Source organism: Homo sapiens, chromosome 10 (assembly GCF_000001405.40).
Source record: "Homo sapiens chromosome 10, GRCh38.p14 Primary Assembly".
Classification (NCBI taxonomy): Eukaryota; Metazoa; Chordata; class Mammalia; order Primates; family Hominidae; genus Homo; species Homo sapiens.
In genome coordinates, this window is record NC_000010.11 from 59,234,829 (window position 1) to 59,258,411 (window position 23,583).

The following is a 23,583-nucleotide window of genomic DNA, read 5'->3' on the forward strand; positions in this document are numbered from 1 at the left end:
TCCAAAGAAAAGACTCATTTGTAGATACAGGTGTAAACTGGTATGGAAGTCCTGATGGGAGGGGTGAAGAGGAGGGTTGTCCTCCACTGAACATAATTTATTTGTATGTATTTAGACAAGAAGAACTGAATTGTTACTAGTTTCTACAAATTACAGAATTGTAAAATGGCTTCCATAACACAGACAGATGGCCAGAAGAGGGTGCTATGTGCAATGCATAGTTTTCCACTGAAGCACACTTTTTTTTCTATAACTGCCAAACAAGGAATCTGATGCAGTTTATAAACTTCAAGGTATTTTAAAAACACTTTAGGGCTAAAAATTGCTTTAAGTAGTCTGCTGTCTTTTGCCTTTTGTTTTTTGTTTTGATAATGAAATTTTTTTGTCTTTTGCTTTTTAGTTTTGAGAATGAAAATTATTAACTTTTAAATGTTTTTAGATATATAACACTTCTCTGATATTTATTCACATATCATATATCTTTTCTGATATATCTCTCTTTCCAGAAGTATCTATAGAGAAATTAACAGTTATCTGCTTTAAGCATTCTTTCTTATGTTGCAGTGTTTTCACTGATGATGAAAATCTGGTCTATTTTTTAATATTGATATTAAGTTTTAACTTGGTAGATACTTTGGAACTTTCTTACCTTACCTAGAAATATTGCTTTTATTAGATGTGCGATTATACATACTAAAGATAAGTGAGGATCATACATACTACAGATAAGTGTGAAAGAGGGAGCAAGATTGAGCAGTCATTATTTTTTCTGAGTTCCAGTTCTGATTATGCTTTCAGTGATGGATATTCTCTTTGCTGACATTTGCCTTGTTGATATAGCTTTGAAATCTTAAATTTCAAACATTAAATGATGAATTGTTTGAGATTTGACCCTTTTTCTTCACTCTCCACTTGGAATACCATATCCTTGAAATGTAGTGAATATTCAACTAGCAGATTTAATTAATCACTTTACTAAGCATTTTTTAGAAATACGTAAACTTTTCTGTGACACATAGACTCTATATTTGAATGAAAGTGAAGCAAAAATTCATATTTTTAGTGTTTTCTCCTTTAACCTGTAAAATATCAAGTAATGGGCAGCTTTAGTGAAATTATTGGGTAGTATAAGTTAACCAAATATAATATTTTTAATACTATTGAACTTTATCTTTTATGTCTCTGTTTTTTAAAGTTTTGTCATTTAGTATGAGAATGTTGCATTTTGAGGAGCATATAGTATACAGAAAAGAACACCATATTAGAAATCAAGAAAACTGGAATCCAAGTACATTTATGTTATTAACAAGCTGTATGACCTCGAACTTGTCTCTTGATAAAGTTGGGCCTTAGTTTTTGCATATAGCAAATAAGAGATTTAAATATAATAATTGTTAAGTATCTTTAAGCAGAAAAATTCTATTGTCAGTCAGGAACTTAATAAGTTATTCTCCATTGTTTACAGTTGATTAAAGTTATACTACTAAATTAACTTCCTCCTTTTCCCTCCTTCCTTCCCTCCCTCCTTCCCTTCTTCCTTCCCTCCTTCTCCCTTCCCTCCTTCCTCCCTTCTCCCTTTTCTTCTTTCTTCACTTCCTTCGTCCCTCTCTGTCTCCCCTCATTTTTCTCTCTCTCTTCCTTCTTTCATTCCTAGGATGTTCCCACAAAATTGGTGGCAAAAGCTGTTCCCTTGCCTATGACTGTCCGTGGACACTGGTTTTTAAGCCCAAGAACTGAATATACAGTAGCAGTGCAGACTGCCTCAAAACAAGTTGATGGTGATTATGTTGTGTCTGAATGGAGTGAAATTATAGAATTCTGCACCGCAGGTAAGAGAACTAGGTACAAATATAGAAAAGCTTTAGTTGTTCTGGGAAAGCTAATTATAGAAAAATATTTCTTTTTTGTAATTATAAAGTGATATATGTGACATTGGTCATTTTTTGCGTTGTCAGTAGCATTGTGTAACAGAATAAACAATGTTGTATTGATTGGAGGAAGCTGAAGTTCTCAGTAGAAAAATCTGAGTAATGGCTTCAAATCATTTTTTTCTATATCCATAGTTTGATTTCTTCAAGATGAAAGCTATGCAAATAAAAAGGTATGCAGTTTGAAAATATACTCAGCATAATTTTTTAGCTTCATTTTGAGAGACAGAGCTTTTTTCTCCTTTTTTTTTTTTTTCCTTTTTCATTTTCACCAGTACTGAAAGACAGAAACTAGGAAAATCCTTCTCTATTTCAGGTGAATGGAGGCAGATCTCAGTGACTGTCCCTAGCAGAAATGTTACTAGATTTTTCACTGGAGTACTAGAAGACCTTAAGAAAATCTGCATCTAAACTAGTGTCCTGTATACATATGTGTGTCTTTGCTTCACTCGAAAGTACCTCAAAGCCATTGTTTTGGGAGGTTTGATGTGGAACTGAACCTTAATATTCCATTAGATTGGAAACATTACCATTCATCTCACTCATATATTTATTGTTTACTTGTTCATTCAAGAAACAGTCATTTATTGAGCACTTCAGTGTTAATGGGATACCATATCTCTACCTGAGTACTCCTGTCATCCTTTCCTTTTGTCTTTTAGAAAGAAACTTTGTTTCCTCCTGTTCATCAAGATGACTGTTTCCTATAAAAAACTATAGACAGAGGCTGAATCTACAAGAAACTTAAGCTGTTCAAAGCTCTTGTTTATCAGAATAATTTAGACTTTTCACATAAGCTTTGTCAATAACCTTGACTCTAAGTTTTGATAAAGCTATTTTGTGTAAGTTGACTTTTAATCTGAACATCGAATTCATTCAAAACTAATTAAGCCCATACTGTGAGCTAGGCACTGTACAATGTATTGGAAATAAAATAAAATAGAATGCCACAGGCTAATCTACTTCTTTTCTAGCCTATGACAGGGTTTAAAACCCTGTGCTTATCCCAATCTTAAAATGCTAATACTTACCATAATAAATCATTATTGTACATATATTTATCTCTTCTCTTAGATTGTCAGTTCTTTGCAAGGAATAATAATATATTTTTTATCTTTTAACTTGATCATCTAATTTTGCATAGTACCTTTTACATCATATGTTCTAATCTCAGTACCTGTTTATTGAGCCAATGAAGCAGTGAGTAAACAAACTATGTTGCCATGAGCAATTTAACTAGGTTTCTTCTGTTTAGAAATTCTTACTAATCTTTATAGGCCAAAATGTTTCCCTAGTTTCTGGTGTAGGAGTTAAACAGCAATTCTTAAACAACTTTCAAAACAAAAAGTGGGTTAAAAAAAATCAGATTTACTTTGACAGGTGCTTTAGAGTTTCAAGCATCTTGTGTACCCAAGTCTTATGTACTCATTATTATTTTTGCTGTCCAACTTTTCTATTGATTGCAGATTATAAGCTTCTTTTATTCAGTTTATCAACTGGTTGAAGAAAAGCTAGTATGGTGCTAATGGATATTACTTGGGTTATGAAAATTTATTTAACTTAATTTTTGTTTCAGTATCTCTAATTTCAAAAAATGGAAAAATGCAAGCAAAGGTATTCTAAGAAACAACCATAAACCATAACAAAAATATTTTTGTAGGAAGAAAAATGTGCCACACAGACAATGAATATTTTCTTTTTTAAATGGAATTTCCTATTTATTAAGTTGAATTCCCTAGAGGTGAATTTTAATAATCTTCAATTTATTAAGTATATGGTTGGTACTTTTGGTGCAATATTTTTAATAACAGACTTTTTGGGTTTTTTCCAGACTATTCAAAAGTTCATCTAACACAATTGTTGGAGAAGGCTGAAGTGATTGCAGGACGCATGCTTAAGTTTTCTGTTTTTTATCGTAATCAGCACAAAGAATATTTTGACTATGTTCGGTAAGATTCAAAAATATATAGTGATTTGTTTTACTAAATATAGTTTCAAATTCTAGGCTCAGGTTTCCCTTGACTCTAGTTTTGTCGAATAGCAATTCTAGATTTCTTTTCAAAATAACGATATGGAATTTTATTTTCCAGAAAAATTAAGTAGAAAAAGATCATGGGATTTTTTTCTATTTCACTTAGATTCCTTTCCATAATCATTTGTGATACCAGTTCCTGCCCATTTGACTAGAGGATCTTAAACCTGTGGTATTTAGATCGATGAGCATTTCAGGTACACACTCGTCCTGCTGTCTGCATCATACTGACTACTAATTTTTTCCTCTTTTCATGGGTCTTTTTAAGACATTGAAAATGAGAGTATAAAAGAGTGACTGTTTAATGAAATATTATGGTGAATCAGGTGGGATTTGCAGACTTCTACCTAAGTAGAAGTCTTTTAGCTGTTGTATTAGTGTGTTTTTCAGGCTGCTGATAAAATGTACCCGAGATTGGGCAATTTAAAAAAGAAAGAAGTTTGTTGGACTTACAGTTCCACATGGCTGGAGAGGCCTCACAATCATGGTGGAAGGCAAGGAGAAGCAAGTCACATCTTACATGGATAGCAACAGGCAAAAAGAGAGCTTGTGCACGGAAACTCCCCTTTTAAAACCATCAGATCTCATGAGACTCATTCACTATCATGAGAACAGCACAGGAAAGATTTCCCCCTCCCCATAATTCAATCAACTCCCACTGGGTTCCTCCCATGACATGTGGGAATTGTGGGAGTTACAATTCAAGATGAGATTTGGGTGGGGACACAGCCAAAACATATCAGCTGTTATCTTGAATTAATTATCATGAGGATAATCTCCTTTGTTTACTTTTAAATTCTAGTGATTTTACTAGAATTTCTAAGATAGCCTATGTTTATCCCTGGAAGCAGTTCCTGAGAAGTTAAAAGAACTCTATCCTGCAGGTAGTTTTTATATTTACAGCACTTTCATATTTGTAGAAGAAAATTTGAAGAGAATAAATAGCCAGATGTCTGTTTTGTGTTTTAAAAGCCTTAGTCTCACTAAGGCTTTTAAAATGGCAAATGCTATATAGGTTGTAAAACTTCTTACACAGCATTCCCTATAATTTATCATTTTAAAAGCTTCACTTCAGACTCTAAAGCATCTTAAGTTGACAGGACTATGTATGAAAAATATTTAGGAAACTTTGTTGTGTTCTTTGTATTTGTTTGTTTGAAGACCATGGTTCCAGATTTAAATCAGCTTCAAGCTGTGGAAAATGCAACAGGAATCAGAGAGAGAAGAACACACGTAGGCATCTGTGTTCTTCAAATTAAGTACTTAGCAATAGAATGTATTTTTATATATTTTGATGGTGAAAAAATATTCCTGCCATTTGTTTGAATATCTTATAAATACAGAGTTTAGTCCTTCATTTTCTCAATTGGTATATACCCTAGAGTCCATATATTTCCTGGTAGATACCATTCACCTAATTTAGAGAGTACAGACTGATAGATATAACATAAATTATTGTGCTTGTCAGTTGTGGATTGGCAATGACCATATAGACTTAGCAAGGAAGGTGTTTCTTTATACAGATGCTCCTTGACTTGCAATGGGGTTATGTCCTGTTAAACCCATTGTAAGTTGAAAATATCAAGTTGAAAATTCATTTAATACACCTAACTTACAAAACATCATAGCTTAGCCTAGCCTCCTTAAACATTTTCAGATAACTTACGTTAGCCTACAGTTGGGCAAAATTATCTAACAGAAAGTCTATTTTATAAAAAAAAAAAGTGTTGAAAAGATCAACATTCAAAGTACAGTTTCTACTGAATGTGCATCATTTTCACACCATCATAAAGTCAAACAATTGTAAGCCAAACCATCATAAGTCAGGGACTGTCTGTATTTGTTACGCATAAAATTTGAAAACAAAAAAAACCCCTCCATATTTCTGTTGTCTTTGGTAAGAAATACATCAAAAGAATAAATAATTACATCTTTGATTTTAGGTTTATATTCCTGGAACATTGCCAATATCTATTTTAGGTGGCCACTGGAGGGCAGTATCTCTCTGTGATTTTTCTCTGTCCCTTAGATGGGAACTGGCCTTTGTTTTTAGGTCCTTTAGTAATCTAAAGTTTGCTTCATCTGTTTTCAAAAATGCTTCCAAGAATAAATAAATAAAGACAGAGTGCCTAGAAAATGGATAATTATTGTGTATATTGCATGATTTTACTCCCAGCTACCAGTATGAAAGCTGTGTTTACTAACAAGAAAATTTACCTTTGTTAAGTTTTCCATAATGATAGTTATAAAATCCATGTAAAATATGTCTTGGTGCAGTACGTATAAATAAATATACTTTCCACAGAGTGGTATAATTTTTCAACATTGCTTTTTTAAGAAGCCTTATTAAAAAGTAGTAGACATAAATTCCATGGATGTTGATTTTCTTTTTGTCATTAACTCTAATTAAGACACATTTCCTTGATTAAAATCCATTTTAAATATCATCTTGTTATTCAGAATGCTTGAATAGAAAGGAAACTTTTAATTACTGGATACACTTTCCAAAGTTTATAATCCATTTTGAATTATGAAAAACTGGATAAATACTTACTCAGTCCATAAGAAATCAACTCATTTTGACCTCTTCCTCTAGAAATGAATTCCTAAATGAACATTACTTTCCCATACTCCAAATGAAAACACCACTTTCTTTCTTACCTCTTGTTCATATTCACTAGGTAGTCTAATTGTCCTTAAAACTCCTTTTATATCTGAAGGGTTTCAGGAATTCACTGAGATTGGTAGACATGTGTAGGAATTCCTCTACCTCTGGTGTCAAATTGTATATCCTCAAAGTGTAGGTTCTAGTACATATTTTCTGTTTATATATATGTTGCTGTTATTATTTCATGTAATTGCACTTATAGATCCATGTAGGACACATATCATAGATATTTGGATTTTGTTAATGAGAATGTAACAAGGGCGAGAAATTTTGAACAGGGACAAGATGGGTAGATTCTCTTTTCCTTATTTCGCCCACATCTATCTATTGTTTACTCTTCACTCAAGAAACAGTCATTATTGAGCACTTCAATATGTTAATGGGATACAAAGATATCTCTTTTGTCTGTGCCAATGAGCACAGACAAAAAAGAAATAAAGAACACCAGAAAGTATGTTCCCTTTACCCACAGGATTGGGAAAGAGACTGAGATGACTTTGAATACAGAAACCTTTTAGACAATAACCACCATACCCCAGGCAAACAGTATAGGAAAAAAACAAACAAACCGTAGTCCCTCATGTACCAGCCAAGGCTAAGTGAGGAACCTAGACCTCTATCCTCTCACATCTGTAAGGGGACACCCTTCTCCTTCCATCCTCTGCTAGGGTGGTATCAGAGAAGCCTGAATAGGGAGCCTGGATTTTCCACCACTGCCCAAAGAAAATGAGGCTTGCCCTCATAGTGTGTGAAGCCACATGTCAAGTACTAATGAGACACCCCTTCTCTCTCTGATCTAGAGTATGTTAGCACAGGCTTAGTGGGAGCCTAAACTCCTACCTCCTCCAAGTAGTAACTGACCCTCCTACCCTGTGTCACCGGAGACTGAGTAGGAAACCTGGACTTTTAGCCCCATCTGACATCAATGAAGTGACTACCCCATACTCTTCACCCACTGGTAGATAGTCAGGAGGAGGCCTGCTAAAAATGCTAGATTTAAATATGATCCAGAATATAATAACATAAAACTTAAAATGTCCAGGATACAAATGGAACTCAGGTATCACACCAAGAACCAGGAAAATCTTAACCTGAATGAGAAAAGATAATCAAAGATACAAAAACCAAAATAATGCAGATCTTGGAATTATCTGACAAAGATATTTAAGCAGCCACCATAAAAATGGTTCAAGAAGCACATACTAACACACTTGAAACACATAAAAACGGAAGCAGCAAAGAAATAGAAGATACAAAGAATTAAATGAAAATTTTGGAACATAAAAACACAGTAAGTAAAGTCAAAAGCTGGATAGACTCCATGGATTCCACAGCAGATTCAAGAGGACAAAGAGAAAAAAATCAGTAAACTTGAAGATAGAATAGAAATTACGCAAATTGAACAACAGAGATAAAACTCACCGAAAAATATATATCAGTCTTATGGACATGTGAGACTATAGCAGATCTAATATTCATGTTGTTAAAGTCAAGAAGGAAAAGACAAAGAGGGTGGGGCTGAAAAAGTATTCATAGAATTAATAGCCGAAATGTTCCCAAATTTGCCAAACAACATAAACATACAGATTCAAGCTGAGAAAACCCTAAATGGGATAAACCCAAAGAAATCCATGCCAAGATATATTACAAACTGAAAACTGCAGGCCAAAGGAAAAAAAAAAAACATTGAAAGTGGTGAGATACAAGACACCTTATGTATAAGGAAAAATAAAACAATTTGAATGACATCATCATCAGAAATTACCTAGCAAAAGAAAGTGACACAATATTTTCAAATGCTGAACGAGCACTGTCAACTGAGAATCCTATATCCGGTGAAAATATCCTTCAATAATAAAAGGGAATTAAGATATGCTCAGATGAAGGAAAACTAAGGGGATTTGTCAACAGCATATCTATCCTAAAGGAAGTTTCTGAAACAGGAAGGAAGGAAATAATAAAAGAAGGAAACCTGGAACATCAGAAAGAAAAAAGCACAGTACAAGTAAAAGTATAGGGTCACATCCAGGATATCACACATTTATTTATTGTGTTTCCTCATTCTCTTAACTGTGACAATTTTTTGGTCTTTCCTTGAATTTGCATTTTTAATAAGCTCCCTAGGTGGTTTTCAGGTGGTAGAATTCGAGACCCATTGCTGCTAAATTCAGAGGCAGATCCAGGCATTTCACTGACCCATAAACTCTTTAAGAAGCATGTTGACTGGGGGAACTTTCCCTTACTTGAGTAGTAGCTTGAACTTTGCTTCCCAAGTCATGCTGGTCAGGGACCCAGCAAAAAAAAACAAACAACAAAAAAAAGAAGGCAGCACACTTGGGGAATTCTGGAGAGAATTTAACAAAACTACCCCTTCATAGAGGTGTAGTCAGGGTTACGGTAACAAATAGGGGATGCTAAAGGAACCAAGAACTAGCACTAGCAAGACTTGAAAAGTTTTACTCTTCATGGGAATGAAAGGGAATAGGAATTCATCCAGCAGCAGCAGTAGTCAGAGATACATAGTTATGAAGAATGCAGCCCTGCCAGAACCACAATGCCCTAAAGCGTGGAGGAAATACAGGAAGACATACCCAAAGCTTTACCTCCTCCTACTCTATATATGCTGGTGCCTCACATTGGTAGAACTGAAATGGAAGTGGCCAAGGGATAAGGAACTGAATGCTAGAGTCCCAGGTCACAGTGGAGGACTGTGGTGGAGAATGAATGGATTTGGGGGTGAGGTAAAGTGGGAATAACTAGCACTGTTTTAAGCAAAATGCCAGAGAAATAACCTGATTACTGTCCTTGGGTTAAAAAGCCAAAACAAGGGCTGAGCGTGGTGGCTCATGCCTGTAATCCCAGCACTTTGGGAGGCCGAGGTGGGCGGATCACAAGGTCAAGAGATCAAACCATCCTGGCCAACGTGGTGAAACCCCGTCTGTAGTAAAAGTACAAAAATTAGCTGGGCATGGTGGCATATGCCTGTAGTCCCAGCCACTCTGAAGGCTGAGGCAGGAGAATTGCTTGAACCTGGGAGGCAGAGGTTGCAGTGAGCCAAGATCGTGCCACTGCTCTCCAGCCTGGCAACAGAGTGAGACTCTGTCTCAAAAAAAAAAAAAAAAAAAAAAAAGCCAAAACAAAACACAACGCTTTTGTGCCAGTATAAATGGACAGCACTCATTTTATGACTAAATCTATCATGCTTTAAAGAAACATTCAATATATTTAACCAATACCTTTAGTTCAGTTTTCTCTTCAGAAAGCCACTTCTGAAACCCAGTTGGCACTTAATGTATGTGTGATTTTACCTGTAAGGTTTCTAATTCCAGTTTGATTTTTCTGGCCAGGAAATTTACATTATTATGTTAATTTAATACAAAGTCTCCAAGGCTTGTAGCAGCTCATCCTTACCTTAAGGTCAAAGCTAGAATACAGCCATCTATAGGTAATATGTCAAAAGATGTTGTCCCCTTATTCTGATAGTAAGAGAGGTATTCAGGCCTTTAACAGTAGATGTTTGACTTTTAGGCCATTCAAATATATAAATCAGTGGGTTTACCACTATTGTATTAAGCAGTGACCACTTGTTTTCTCTTGCAGAGAACATCATGGGAATGCTATGCAGCCATCTGTCAAGGATAACAGTGGTAGCCATGGCTCTCCTATCAGTGGAAAATTAGAAGGCATCTTCTTCAGCTGCAGCACTGAATTCAATACTGGAAAGCCACCCCAGGATTCACCTTATGGAAGATACAGGTTTGAGATTGCCGCAGAAAAACTTTTTAACCCCAATACTAACTTATACTTTGGGGACTTCTACTGTATGTACACTGCTTATCATTATGTGATTCTTGTTATTGCTCCTGTGGGATCACCAGGAGATGAATTTTGTAAGCAGCGCCTTCCTCAACTAAATTCTAAGGATAATAAATTTTTGACCTGTACAGAAGAAGATGGGGTGCTGGTTTACCACCATGCCCAGGATGTCATTTTAGAAGTCATTTACACTGACCCTGTGGATCTTTCTGTGGGCACCGTGGCAGAAATCACTGGTCATCAGCTCATGAGTTTGTCTACTGCAAATGCAAAGAAAGATCCCAGCTGCAAAACCTGTAATATCAGTGTTGGACGTTAATGCCCACTTTTCTTATTCTTACTCAGCCCCTTTTCCTCCCTTAGGAGCATTGGTCCTCTGTTGTCCATTTTTATCACCAGATGTTTTCCACTGAAGCATGCACATGCCACTGTCACCAAAACAAACAACTACCACTTTCCAAATTTCATTCAGAACCATTTTAGTGTTTTCCTATTCCCTACCCCTCCCACTACTTTCAATGATGAAATACCCTAAGTTAAGTTCTCCTTTTGACACTTTATTGCCTAGATGCTGCAATGTTTTTATGTTTCCTTTATGCCAAACATAACAAAACAGTTATATAGACTGCTTTAGCAAAGTACACAATAATGGCTTATAAATGGTGTTTAAATATGCATTCATTTTAATCTACTGAACAAATATTGGGATAACTCCAAACCGCATGAAAGGGTGTAATTGCAGCATGAGTTAAATCTTGAAGCCTAGAATTGTCAGCACTTCCAACTTCTTGTTTGACAGTGTTATTTATGTTATTTATATTAGCTAACAGGAAACAACTACTGTGTTTCAACATAATAAATATAATAGAAAAATATTTTATTTGTATTGTTGTATAAAATATTTACAATCATATAGAATATATAGAGTTACATTTTAATAGCAACTGTGTACATGTCACGAAACCATTTCCCTTATCAAAGATGTAATTTGTAAACCTCAAATAGTTGTGTATCTGTCCTGTTAGAAGTAGATGACTTCAATTAAACAAATTTATGAAGGACATTATTCTGATTCATAAAAGTTATAAAATATTAGGTAAATACAGAGAAAACAATAAGCCTCTGAAATAAGTCTGTTTCTGAAATAGTCAATAGTCTTCCCATCCAAACTATAAGAGAATGTGAATTTCTTCAACATCATACTTAAACATTACAGAAAATAGAAATACAAACAAGGTTGGTACATGAGAGAAAATGTTGACCTTTTACTTCCTTTTACAAAAATGAAAATAATAAACATGTTTTCGTATAAAATAACACAAAATGATATACACTGAAGTTGATGAAGCAAATAAATATTCTGGCTTCTTTTTCAAGGTATCAGGGCAAACAATTTCCAAACTTTTCATTTTGTACAGAAGGATGAATAACTACAGCTCATGGGAAATGTTTTGACTTTACAAAGTATAGATGTTGGAACATTAAGAAAAATGTATATTCCCAATGAAAAAATAGTTATATCATCTTATAGTAAACCAAAAGATTAGCAATAATACTATGGACACATTAGATTATATACTACAGACACATATCTATCCAAAATACCTATTTTAAATTTTTAATACAATATTTTATTTTAATATAAACATCTGTCAGTTATAGACAAAGATAATAATTCACAAAGTACATGCTATCAGAATGAACTTTGGTAACCAGAAATGTAAAATTTCAAATAACGGATAAAATAATGTGTTATTTTTATAGAGAAAGAAAAAAATAGCAACACAATCTAGTTTATTTTAGGGTACTGAGAGCCTAGCAGACTTAAAGGACAAGGTAGTAAATGTTTTATCACTCAAAAATCCATTAGAAGTTTCAAATAAATTGCTTTCTTGCTAGCTGTATTCCTTCCTACTTGAAAAGCGAATTTCTTTTCCTCCTATGATTGATTTTTTAAAATCATGCTCTTTTCCATACATCAACATAAACAGTCTTTGGATACTAAATAAACTTTCCCTAACAAGTGTCCTAGCTATGTTATTTAGATTTGATAAAATATTAGACATTTTTAAAAATACTTGTATTGACTATGAGTTTTCTGCTTGGCATGGAGGACACTGAATTTTTTCCCAATTATATGGCTACCTGTTGTATTCTTCCCCCCGTTTAAATCCCTTCTCCTTGTATATAATTAAACTTGCTATTCCTTCTTAAAAACAGCTAATACTACCACTAAAGTGCTTCCATTTTCATTGTGTCAAAACTACTTAGCAAGGATGGCAGAGGAAAATAAACTTTACTTTATATCATGGGTGAAAGTGATCATAACATTTCCTGAACCTCAAATAGTTTTGGCCACATCTTGCTTGCTGATGAGGACCTCTAATAGTCTCAGTTTGGCTTTTATGTGCTTATATTCATAATACTCATCTGCCATTGGTATCCTATCTTCCTTTTGTGGACTTCTGCAAAACAAAAATACATTTGTTAGTTCACAATGAATCAAGTCATTATTTAAACATTCTTTTATAATTCATACATGAGAAAGTATACTGTAACGGCCTCCACTTGGTTTTTGCATCATGTCTTCTTTTCCTTCCCTTTCACCTTCATTCACTCCTTCTTCCATGTGTTACTAAGTTTCTAAATAATAGTAACCTTTGAAAACTTGAATGTCATAAGTGTTTTGCAAATATGTGGTCTAGTGCTTAGACTTACAACAAAGGGGTCAGTGAAAAGATCTAAGGAGAAGCAAACAAACAAGAAACAGAACTTTCAAGGCATTCTTTGTCCAGTCATTCTTCCATTATTTGCCACACCCCTACAGCTGTACAAAATGATCAGCCCTAATACAGTTGTTAAAAATATTAACCTGAAAATACTACAGGAATTTCATTATAAAAATAACATAAACCTATGGTAACAAGAAAAGCATTTAGGGTCTGTCTTACAAACTTGAAACGTTTCCAGATTTTCTTGTAATTATAATACCTATCTCTGCTAATATATAGTAGAACCACTGAGCTGTTCCTTGATTGAAGTAATTGACAAGAGTCTAAATTGTGGTGGTTCTCTTCTGTACACTAATTCTACTAAGGCTAGACATGTAACAATGCATAGATTTTTATACATATGCAGCATACTCTTGCTGTTTACTTGGAAGAATAACTTGGTAATATCAGGAGTTAAAACCATTTGCCTTCCCACAAAAATATGTTGTCAGGAAACGTTTTCTAAAGGGAAAAATTGCGACAGGGTCTCAGAAGGCTCTTGTTTTCTTGGTTAATAAGATAGCCAATCGTTTTGAAAACATTTCCACCCACGACTTTGAAATTCAAGGGGTAGAGGACACAGATATAGTCACCACAATTACAACTGAATATAACCACAAGTATTCTCTAATGTTAGTATGGCTGAAACCAGGTAAATAGCATATATTTAATGTTTTATCTTTAGCTCCCTTCTATTTTTCCCAGTAGTGATAAAGAGATATTTCTATCTCTTACCAAATAAAAAACAAGCTAATCTATACAAATTAAGAATATAGTATCTACTTGTATTTCAACACTATTTATTGCCCTGCAATTTCTAGTACAGAACTCAGAACAGTATACAAATCCATAGACAGCATTCTTCTTAACTGTTGTCTAAATTATATAACATATATCTTTGCCTCCATTCTGTGTTATGAGTCAAACTTATCATGGCTGGATGTCTGAATACCACCTTAATTTGTATAAATAGATCTAAGTAAAGAAATTGTCTAATTATTACAGAGAAACATTAATAATCAATTATGTAATTTTCCGTAGTTTTGCATATTCCATTTTGGCTAATAAGAGTGCTTTGAGGCCGGGCACAGTGGCTCACGCCTGTAATCCCAGCACTTTGAGAGGCCGAGGCGGGCGGATCACAAGGTCAGGAGATTGAGACCATCCTGGCTAACATGGTGAAACCCTGTCTCTACTAAAAATATAAAAACTTAGCCACGCGTGGTGGCGTACGCCTGTAGTCCCAGCTACTTGGGAGGCTGAGGCAGGAGAATGGCGTGAACCCAGGAGGCGGAGCTTGCAGTGAGCCGAGATCGCGTCACTGCACTCCAGCCCAGGTGACAGAGTGAGACTCCGTCTCAAAAGAAAAAAAAAAAAAAAAAAAAAAGAGTGCTTTGACAAGAATGAAAAGTTTTGCCAAGTCTTTCCTGAAGGAGTTTCTCCATTATATAAAACATACTAAAGTGCTTAGCACACTTCCAGGCTAATAATTATTAATAATAATGTAATATCTGCATGATTCTCATGCCTCTTGTATGGCAAATATTACCAAGAACATTTATAGTGCCTTAAACATTTTAGTAATCCATTTGCATGGTTATTTTAACTTATGGATGCTTAGGCCTTCCCAATAAAATGTCTTAGATAAACAAAATTAAGGTCCATATTTCCTAGCCATTCAACTGTTTGATTTTAGTTGTAAAAGATCATCACTTGTGCATTTAGTTGAAATATATCATCACAAGGGGGCATAAAACTTCATAGACAAATACAGACTTATCTGAAGTGGGTTTAAGACTCATAGGTGCAGTGGAACACTATACATAGAACATAACTAACTTCCCTGTATGTATGACAAAAAGCACACCAAGTGACACTGCAGATCCAGTAGGCAGGACTAGTAGCACACTGGGAAGTTCTCAAACCCCTTACGATAGATTCCTGAGTTCAAATTGCTAAAAAATATAAATTTATTCAGGGAACTCAAATTTATGAAAAGAGTGTACGCACATCTTAAAGTGTCATTTCTCATATGTAATGACTGTTTAGATTTAGAATATGTGATAACATCTCCACAAATATTTCCCTGAATGAAAAATTCCCATAGAATACCTTTAATCCAAAAGAGGCAGAGATCAGGAACTTTATAGTGCAAGTCACATATTTACCCAAAGTATAATAGGAGCAGACAGTCCAGACAGACAAAGTTACTACTCCAAGGAATATTTTACAAGGAAAGTTACATGAACATTTTATAAAAGAAAAAAGTATGGAAAAGGAAAAAAATAACAAATGCTTTATATTCTAAATTTATGAGCCACATAACATTTCTCACTAGATTACTTAACATCACCAAAAAGGTAAGTTGGACTTGTAGCAATCAACTGGAAAGGAAGATTGTAAGTAGAAAATAAGTTGTTACATCTGTATTGGCTGAATGCAAAAAGCTTTTCACTCAATAGGTCCAGTCCTAAAGAATATCCCTGGTAGGCTAAAATGGAAAACCTGCCAGGGACTAAGAGGTAAGTAGACCACGCATGAGAGTTTCAAGGTGCTTTTGGAAAATAGTCCCTTTCCATCAGGACAACCCTCAACCTGCTGAACTGAAAAGTCAAATACAATACCTAAATGGAGAGGAATACAGAGGAGCCCATGTAGCACTGATGAGTTTAATGATGAGTTTATGAGTTGAATAATGAGTTTAATCTCATTTCATCTACTTAATAACTTGTGGCTTTGGGAAAGTTACACTCTTCATTTATTTATTTTTGTAAAGATTGATATCCCACATGACAGCTGTAGCTTCCCAAAGTATCCCAGGAGTCCAACCATTTCAGCTCATAAAATGGGAACTGAGGTTCAAGATAGCTAAGCAATTTATCTCTCTTCCAAATTAGATCAATAACCTTATCTCTTGATTATATATGTAATTTTGTTGATGATACACCAAAAATTGGAGGAAACTAATAGAGTGTATAATGAGACTTGGGTTGACACAGAAAAATAGAGGACAGATGATACAGCTAACCATTTATTTAAGAAGTAGAAAGAATGACTATGAATTTTTGATCGACTCTTGAAATAAAATAATTAGGGACAGATCCTGACTTTTAAGGAAGACATTTAAAGCAAATAAGGAATTATTATTTAATAAATTAGGGAGTAACTTGTGGAACTAAGAAACCAACAACAAAGCAGTTATGTGGGCTAAAAAAATCAACAGATTTTTTTAAAGGTTTAAATAAATTCATTTATTTATGATGAGATTTATTGTGCAAAGTTAGAGATTTTTGGAGTTTATCCTTTATTTTTTACAGATTGATGTCATACCTGACAGCTACCATGTCCCATGAAACATCCCTAATACTGGCACTATTAGAATGTTGCATTGGACAAATCCTGAGTCTAAGCCAGTGTGGAAATTATATACATTTTGTAAAAAGTCACCGTTCCTGCAAAAAATTGCAGCTCATTTTTAACAGCAATTCTCTAGGAAGTATTAGCTTTAAAAATCTCTCTGCCGACACATACCTTCCTGTTTGTTTAAAAAACTGTTCTTCAAATTCTCTTAAGGCTTTCCGCAGTCTCTTCTTGTCAGCCCTAGTTTCTCGGAGATGGTCAAGAAGTACAGGCCTATATAAGGTAAAATACTTGTCATTACTGGGCACTGGCATAATTGAGAGATCATCATGAGCAGATTTATCTGTTCAGCCAAAAAAGCATCTATGATTGAAAAGTGTTCCCATCATAAGAGTATCTTTTGAGTAAATATGACACACATAGAGCCTGACCATAGGCAAGCACATAAGCAGGGAAAATTACCTGATGGAAAAAATATCACAGGATAGGGGAAAGGACAGACAAGAGGCAAGGAGATTGATTGAATCCACTGAAGGAACTGGAAAGGGTAACAGCAATATAGGTGGATGAGGGAAGGGATATTTTGAAGGAATACTCATCAGCATTTGGTCATAGACTGAACATAAGAGATACAGAGGAGCAGCTTTTAAAGAAAATTCTATTCTTAATCTAGAGAAATAAGTGTGGGAATATTGGGAGAATAGCAAAACCCTTGTGAATGAAAATAAGACCCAGAAGAAAGCGATAGTTACATTGCAAATTCTACTCACTTCATTCTACCAAGATGAGAGAAAAGTCATATACTCTAGAGCAGGAATCTGGTATATACACAAGCATACCCAAACTCATGTATGGTTTCAGAGATTCTGTGAACTTGAAATTATACATGGGCATTTTCTTAAAATGATTCTATTGGTTTCAAAGAAGTCCCAACACCCCTTGAAAAGTTAGGAATAACTGCTTTAGAACCACCACCAAAAAAATGATTTTCTACTTGCTTTCTCTGACAGACACTTCTGTCAACTTAAATTAAATTAAATTAAATCTCATAATCTGGGCTGTAAGATACAAACCAAAGAAGGCCAAATTATCATGAGGAATGCCAGCTACTGAATAATGATAATAATAATGATAATGATAATATTAATGAAAATCCAAATGGCTTATATCTGAAGGGCTATTTAAGAGACAAAGGGCAAGTCATTTGCTTACTACCAAGTGGATTTCTAGTGGAAAAACTATCTCATCTAAATGTAAGAGACTAGGATAAAGGCCCTGAGAACTGTTGACCCACCCCTTTGAGTCCAGCATTTTCAAAGGCCAGCTCTACTTCATATACTGGTATCAGACCAGAAGGAGTTAAGAGGAGACTCCACACTTAGGATTCATACTCACATGGTAGCCTCATGTAAATTAGACATGGAGAGAGCTGGTGGTTTTACTTCTTTCTTTTCATCTGGTAAAAGGGCCCTAACAGGCTCAGTCTCATTAGAGTAGGTGAGGTGGTCACCAACAGGAAGGTGAGATGCTGGATCTGCCAAAGAAGGTTGTTGGCTTCCCTGTGGACGGTCTTCATCAGAGTCCTCTTCCTCCTGCTTATCACAGGCAGAGTTAAAGAAAGAAAGTCATGTAATGCTCAGTGCCTCTTGAGGAAACAAAAACAGGAAGGGGAACTATAAATCAATGCCATGAAAACCAGTAGGTGACCCATGTGCCTACTGAGAACTGGGATGGAAGAAACCAAGAGGAGCTCTTCCGCAGTTTCATTAAAAACCTACAGAAGTTAATGAGCAAAAAGGCAGCAGTCATGCTGGGCTAAAACACTCACCAAGTTCATCTGTGTCTTCTGGGCCAATGAAGGCACAGACCATTAGGATATGGTCCAGTCTGGACTATACTACCAAGTGGTTCCTCCCTTTCACTCAGACCTTCTGGGCTCCAGCTTAATACTTGTGATATGAGTTAAGATAAGGTGGACTACGGACAACTTTTATCCTCCAGAAATACCCCAAGTCAGGTCCCAGTGGGGACCAACATTCAGATACAGAGGATACTCAGTAAATTGACAAGTTCAGGGGAGAGCTATTTGAAGGCCAAAGCAAAGTGGGGTTACTCCTCAACTGTTCTGATAATTCTTATCACAACTAGAAGATTCTCTTGCAAGAAATATAAGAACCTTACTACATTTTAAATTATGCTTCCATAAAGGGAAAATTCCAAAGACTATGAATTATTATTCACTTAATGTCTTTAAAAATGTGGAAGTATAATTTGTCTCAAAAAAAGTGGAAGTATAAATGTACCCAAGCATACTTAAATTTATATTTGTTAATATTTATTCCTTTTTATATTGATATCTTGAACAAGTAACTGTTTTGATATTGATGGAGTAGGATTTGTGATGCTTTTCTAGTTCTGTATTCCCATAAATCATTCTTTATTAAAAGTAGCCTAATTCAATTTCAGTACTTATATTTTCTATTGAAATAAATCTTCTCATATCTTGTACAGTATGGTCAAATGGTACCAAAAACAAATGTTGCATTATATCAAGAATATATTGTTAATTTTCTGATTAAAGGAAAAAATTAACCAACACACAGAACAGAAAGGCTCTGTTTTGTCTAGCTGTGTTACAAATTAGAAAATGCCAAACTGAAATCTATCATTTCTTTTCACCCAAGATAATGAAAGCAAATGTTAAAATTGGCTCTAGACATACAAGTGCTATATGTTCCTATTTTACAATAGTTCTAATATCAGCCACTGTTAAATATAGTAATGGGGTTAGAGAAGACCAAATTTTCACTTTTTGAAATGACAACTAGCCTTGTTTGCAGTATATACTGCCATGAAGGGTCTTTTATAACTCTTGTACTACTATGTGACATCCTGTTAACTACACATCAGTACAAAGTAACAGCATGCAAGTATCCTGACTTACAATTGTTGGAATAAGGGAAGGTGTTGACAAGATTTGCTTGATAATTCTGTATCGGTCATAAAGCGGCTTTATGAGGTTCTTGTCTTGCTTAGTTACCTGAAAAACATGAAATTAATTATTATTCCTCTCTCAGACAAGAATGAAAACGTCAACATTTTTAGCAGACAAAAAGCCTCAAAGTAAAGGATTATAATACTATAATGCAGCAGTTATCATGAAAAGGAAAGTCATTTATTTATTTATTTATTTATTTATTTATTTATTTATTTATTTAGAGACAGAGTCTCACTCTGTCACCCAGGCGGAGTGCAATGGCATGATCTTGGCTCACTGCAACCTCCACCTCCTGGGTTCAAGCGATTCTCTTGCCTCAGCCTCCTGAGTAGCTGGGACTACAGGCACGCACCACCATGCCTGGCTAATTATTTTGTATTTTTAGTAGATACAGGGTTTCACCATGTTGGCCAGGTTGGTTTCAAACTCCTGACCTCAAGTGATCAGCCTGCCTCGGCCCCCAGTTACAGGTGTGAGCCACCGTGCCTGGCCAGAAAGTCATTTATAAGATACTGTATGTAGCACATGCCAGTTTTTTTCTTGGAAGTTTCTTAAAGGATACGTCCAAGTTTAGCAATGTGATTTTTGGAGGAGTCTGAAATGCGTAAGTGTTAAGGAACCTCTTCCTTAATTACTTCTTCATTCTTAAAAAACCAATCCAGACATTGATTTTTCTTCTGAAACATGTATTTTATCTAGACTTTCCTGATTATATGTAGTCACAAATACCAACCTTATACAGGTCTTCATCACTACATGCTTGTATTATATACTAGGTTACTGACAGGCTGTGATATCAACTAAATTATTTTGGACAAAACATTTAACTTCTCTGAATCCTCAATTTCCTACCTATACAAGAAGGAGGTTGGAGTTACCAATATCCTTCCCTGAAAAAAATGTGTAACCTCTTGATCCACTAATATATTCTATACCCCTCTGCTGTAAGACCCATCCCTAAGCACTATTTTCAATGGATCACACTGTGCATAAAAGTTTAAATAGCTTCCTATCTATCCATCTATTTGTCTGTCTATGTATCTGCCTATTTATCCAAAGTGACCGAACTCCTCTGCTTGCATTGGTTTTTTCCTGCTTTGTATTCTGCATTAATTTTCTGCATGTCTAGTACACATAACCTCCCTTTTACTCTAGTCCAGTGATATACACTTGGCAAGTAGTGGGAAGGGAATAGTAGAAATAACTCATGGAATAATCACCCAGGCATCTTTTATCAAAGTACACACACCCAAGCATGCCAGATACATCTGCCATCCAGATCTGTCTCCCTTGAAAGAAAAGAAAATGTCTCAAACATGTGTTACACTTCCCAGTTATCCTCATGCTCCCAACTCCCATCCCAATTGCAAACCATTCTGGCCCATATTGATCTACCTTTCCTCTCAACTTATCTCATTATCTGGGCCTTAACTGTTTTCTTTGTTTCAGTATTGTCTGCCCAAATAAAGGATTCTTGAGGAGAGAGATCATATCACATACTTCTTTAAATTCTCACAGTACCCAATACATCCCCATCCCTACTACTAAGCTATCAACACAGGTTTATATGCAAAAAGGACTCTAATTTTTAGCAATCTTCTTTTAAGTTCCATACGCTGTGACCTAAGTCTCACCTCCCTCTGTAGAAGCCTGTTAAGTATTGTTTAAATAACCTCAAGATCTTTTCATTTTCTAACCCAATCATTCTTTAAACACTTTCTTATTACATCTTTCCATGAAAAAAAACCCAACAAGTTCCTATCAAAATCTATTCCATGGGATTTTAATAGATGACAGCAGAAAAAAATCTCAGTCTAAGTTCAGAAAACATTGAAATAGTGTTTTTTAAATGTAGTATCTTACTGGGACTTACAATTCATAGAAAGTATTTCAGATAATGATGCATTTAACTATTATTGGTATCTCTCCATTGCAATTTGATTTTTGTGATTTGAATGTATTCCCCAGATTCTAGAAAAGCTAAATTTAATTCTAAAAGGAAAAAGTGACCAAAACACACATTAGAATGATGAATGCCATTATAGAAAACTATCTTCCACAGATGCCAGACAAAAATTCGGGAACAAGTACAATGTATGCACTCCTTTTTCACTTTGATTCCGTTGTCTTCCTCTTAAGATTATTATTAAAGCAATCCCTGAGGAAACGTGAGGGTTCCATACCCTCATGCATAGTAAGTACAAAACACTGTGAAACCTCTAAGTCTACAAGTGCTCATCCTCAGATAGAGGACAGGAAAGCAGATTGCCTGAGGAAGGTTAGTAGTGGGATTATGTGCCAGGAGCTGTTTTCTACTCACAGAAAAGCTATAGGCCTGCAAAGTGATCTTCATAAAGAAAACTGAATCAAGGTAAGCTCTGCAGGATACCCCAAATCTAAGGGGGCAGAAATACATTAGACTTTCCTGTTATTCTTCAGCTACTGTCTGCTAAGAATCAGATAATTTTCTCTTCTGAATTCAATGGCTCTCTCTTTCTGAAGTACATCCTCCTTCCTCCCTAATTCTATAGTTGCTGCTGGCTGTAGTATGCAAGATATACCTATTTTTTCATTTTTGTTTTATGAATGAAGGAAACAAGGTTTCCTTTATGTTTTCGGTTACACGTTGAATAACCTAAAACAGCCAAAGAGAGCTATGAATGGATTGTCATAAAGATAAATAAAAGGAGATAAACTTTAAAAGATGATTATTCTTCCAGTTTCTCCATTTTTATAGTATCAGGGGTATAACTAAGAGGAGGTTGAGCAAGAGAGGACCATATATAGGACACAATTTGATATGATTTGTTTATAGCTTGGCAACTTTGCCACATGAAAATTCCTGGCCCCCTATCAAGTAGGTGATTTGAATCATCAAGGTCTGGAAATAAACTGGCTTTCCAAGAGACATAACTGCTACTGAGGGGTCAGCCCAAATTAGTTTCTTTCTGGGTCCTGGTCAGAAAGTTGTTTAGGAAAAAGCTGCCATAGCTTCAGCACTTCTACCACCTTGTTTTCCTTTCCCGCATGGGAGTGGTGCCATGTATTCTTCCACAGTAAGCCACAGAAATTTATAAATGAAATCATTCCAATTATCCCCATAAATGAGATGTCTCTTAAGGAGAGAAGTAAAACTGACATTCTCTTCTCTGGACAGTGAGCAATGGAAAACATGCTTCTTAGCTTTAGGGACTGAAGTCCTGCCAAGATTTTCCTGTCTAAGTATCCCCATCCCCTTATTGAGGGAGACACTATATGCAGGCAAGTCTGACCATTTAAATTAAACAATCAAACAAGATGGAAAGTCAGTACTGGATATTATCATAGAAAGCAATTGCTAAAGAGAATGTTTTGGTCAATTTAGATGTTCAAGCCGGGAATTGAAGATTAATATTTGTCTTGAAACCAGAAGACATGAGTTCAGATAACCAGCTTCAAAACTTATAAACTGTTTTTAACATTACAAATATGTAATATTTGAACCTCAGTTTCCTAATATGCAGAATGAGGATCACTTTTATTACATTTTATAAGTAAATGTTTCTGGATTAATAACACACACATCAAATGTTATTTGAGCTTTCAAACTAGTTGACTTGATGTTAATGTCAATGCTATCCATTAATAAAAAAGAATGCCACAGTGCTATTGAATAATAATTTTTTAAAAATAAAAGAGAATGATAAGCTCTCTATGTCTTGATATAAAAAGATATCCAGAATATACAAAGTAAAAAGGATGCATAATTGTATAGACTGCTCCCTTTTCTCTAACAGAGGCAAGTTAAGAATATATACTGGGGCCAGGTATGGTGGCTCACTCCTGTAATCCCAGCACTTTGGGAGGCTGAGGTGGGAGCATGCCTTAAGGCCAAGAATTCTAGACCAGCCTGGGCAAAAGTGAGAGCTCACCTCTACAAAAAATTAAAATACTCAACCAGGCATGGTGGTGCACACCTGTAGTCCCAGCTACTTGAGAGGCCGAGGTGGGGAGATTGCTTGAGCCCAGGA

General features: G+C 35.2%; 2 protein-coding genes across 30 annotated transcripts in view; one reads left to right on the forward strand and one right to left on the reverse strand.

The window, feature by feature from the left end:
- The window catches only part of PHYHIPL (phytanoyl-CoA 2-hydroxylase interacting protein like), a 74,174-nt gene extending 61,232 nt beyond the window's left edge, over positions 1-12,942 (forward strand). For all 6 annotated transcript variants that reach the window (XM_017016783.3, XM_011540276.4, XM_011540275.4 and 3 more), the window contains 3 exons: positions 1,655-1,829; positions 3,760-3,877; positions 10,229-12,942. In XM_017016783.3, coding sequence (XP_016872272.1) covers positions 1,655-1,829; positions 3,760-3,877; positions 10,229-10,763 — 828 coding nt within the window. In that variant the 3' untranslated portion in view covers positions 10,764-12,942. The remainder of the gene's footprint in view (positions 1-1,654; positions 1,830-3,759; positions 3,878-10,228) is intronic.
- Positions 11,301-23,583, reverse strand: part of FAM13C (family with sequence similarity 13 member C) — a 117,053-nt gene continuing 104,770 nt past the window's right edge. For 7 of the 24 annotated variants that reach the window (XM_006717702.4, XM_017015891.2, NM_001143773.1 and 4 more), the window contains 4 exon segments: positions 19,520-19,615; positions 17,971-18,170; positions 16,747-16,848; positions 11,301-12,909 (listed from right to left, as the gene is read on the reverse strand). In XM_006717702.4, the coding sequence (XP_006717765.1) occupies positions 12,786-12,909; positions 16,747-16,848; positions 17,971-18,170; positions 19,520-19,615 (522 nt within the window). In that variant the 3' untranslated portion in view covers positions 11,301-12,785. 24 annotated transcript variants of the gene reach the window in all.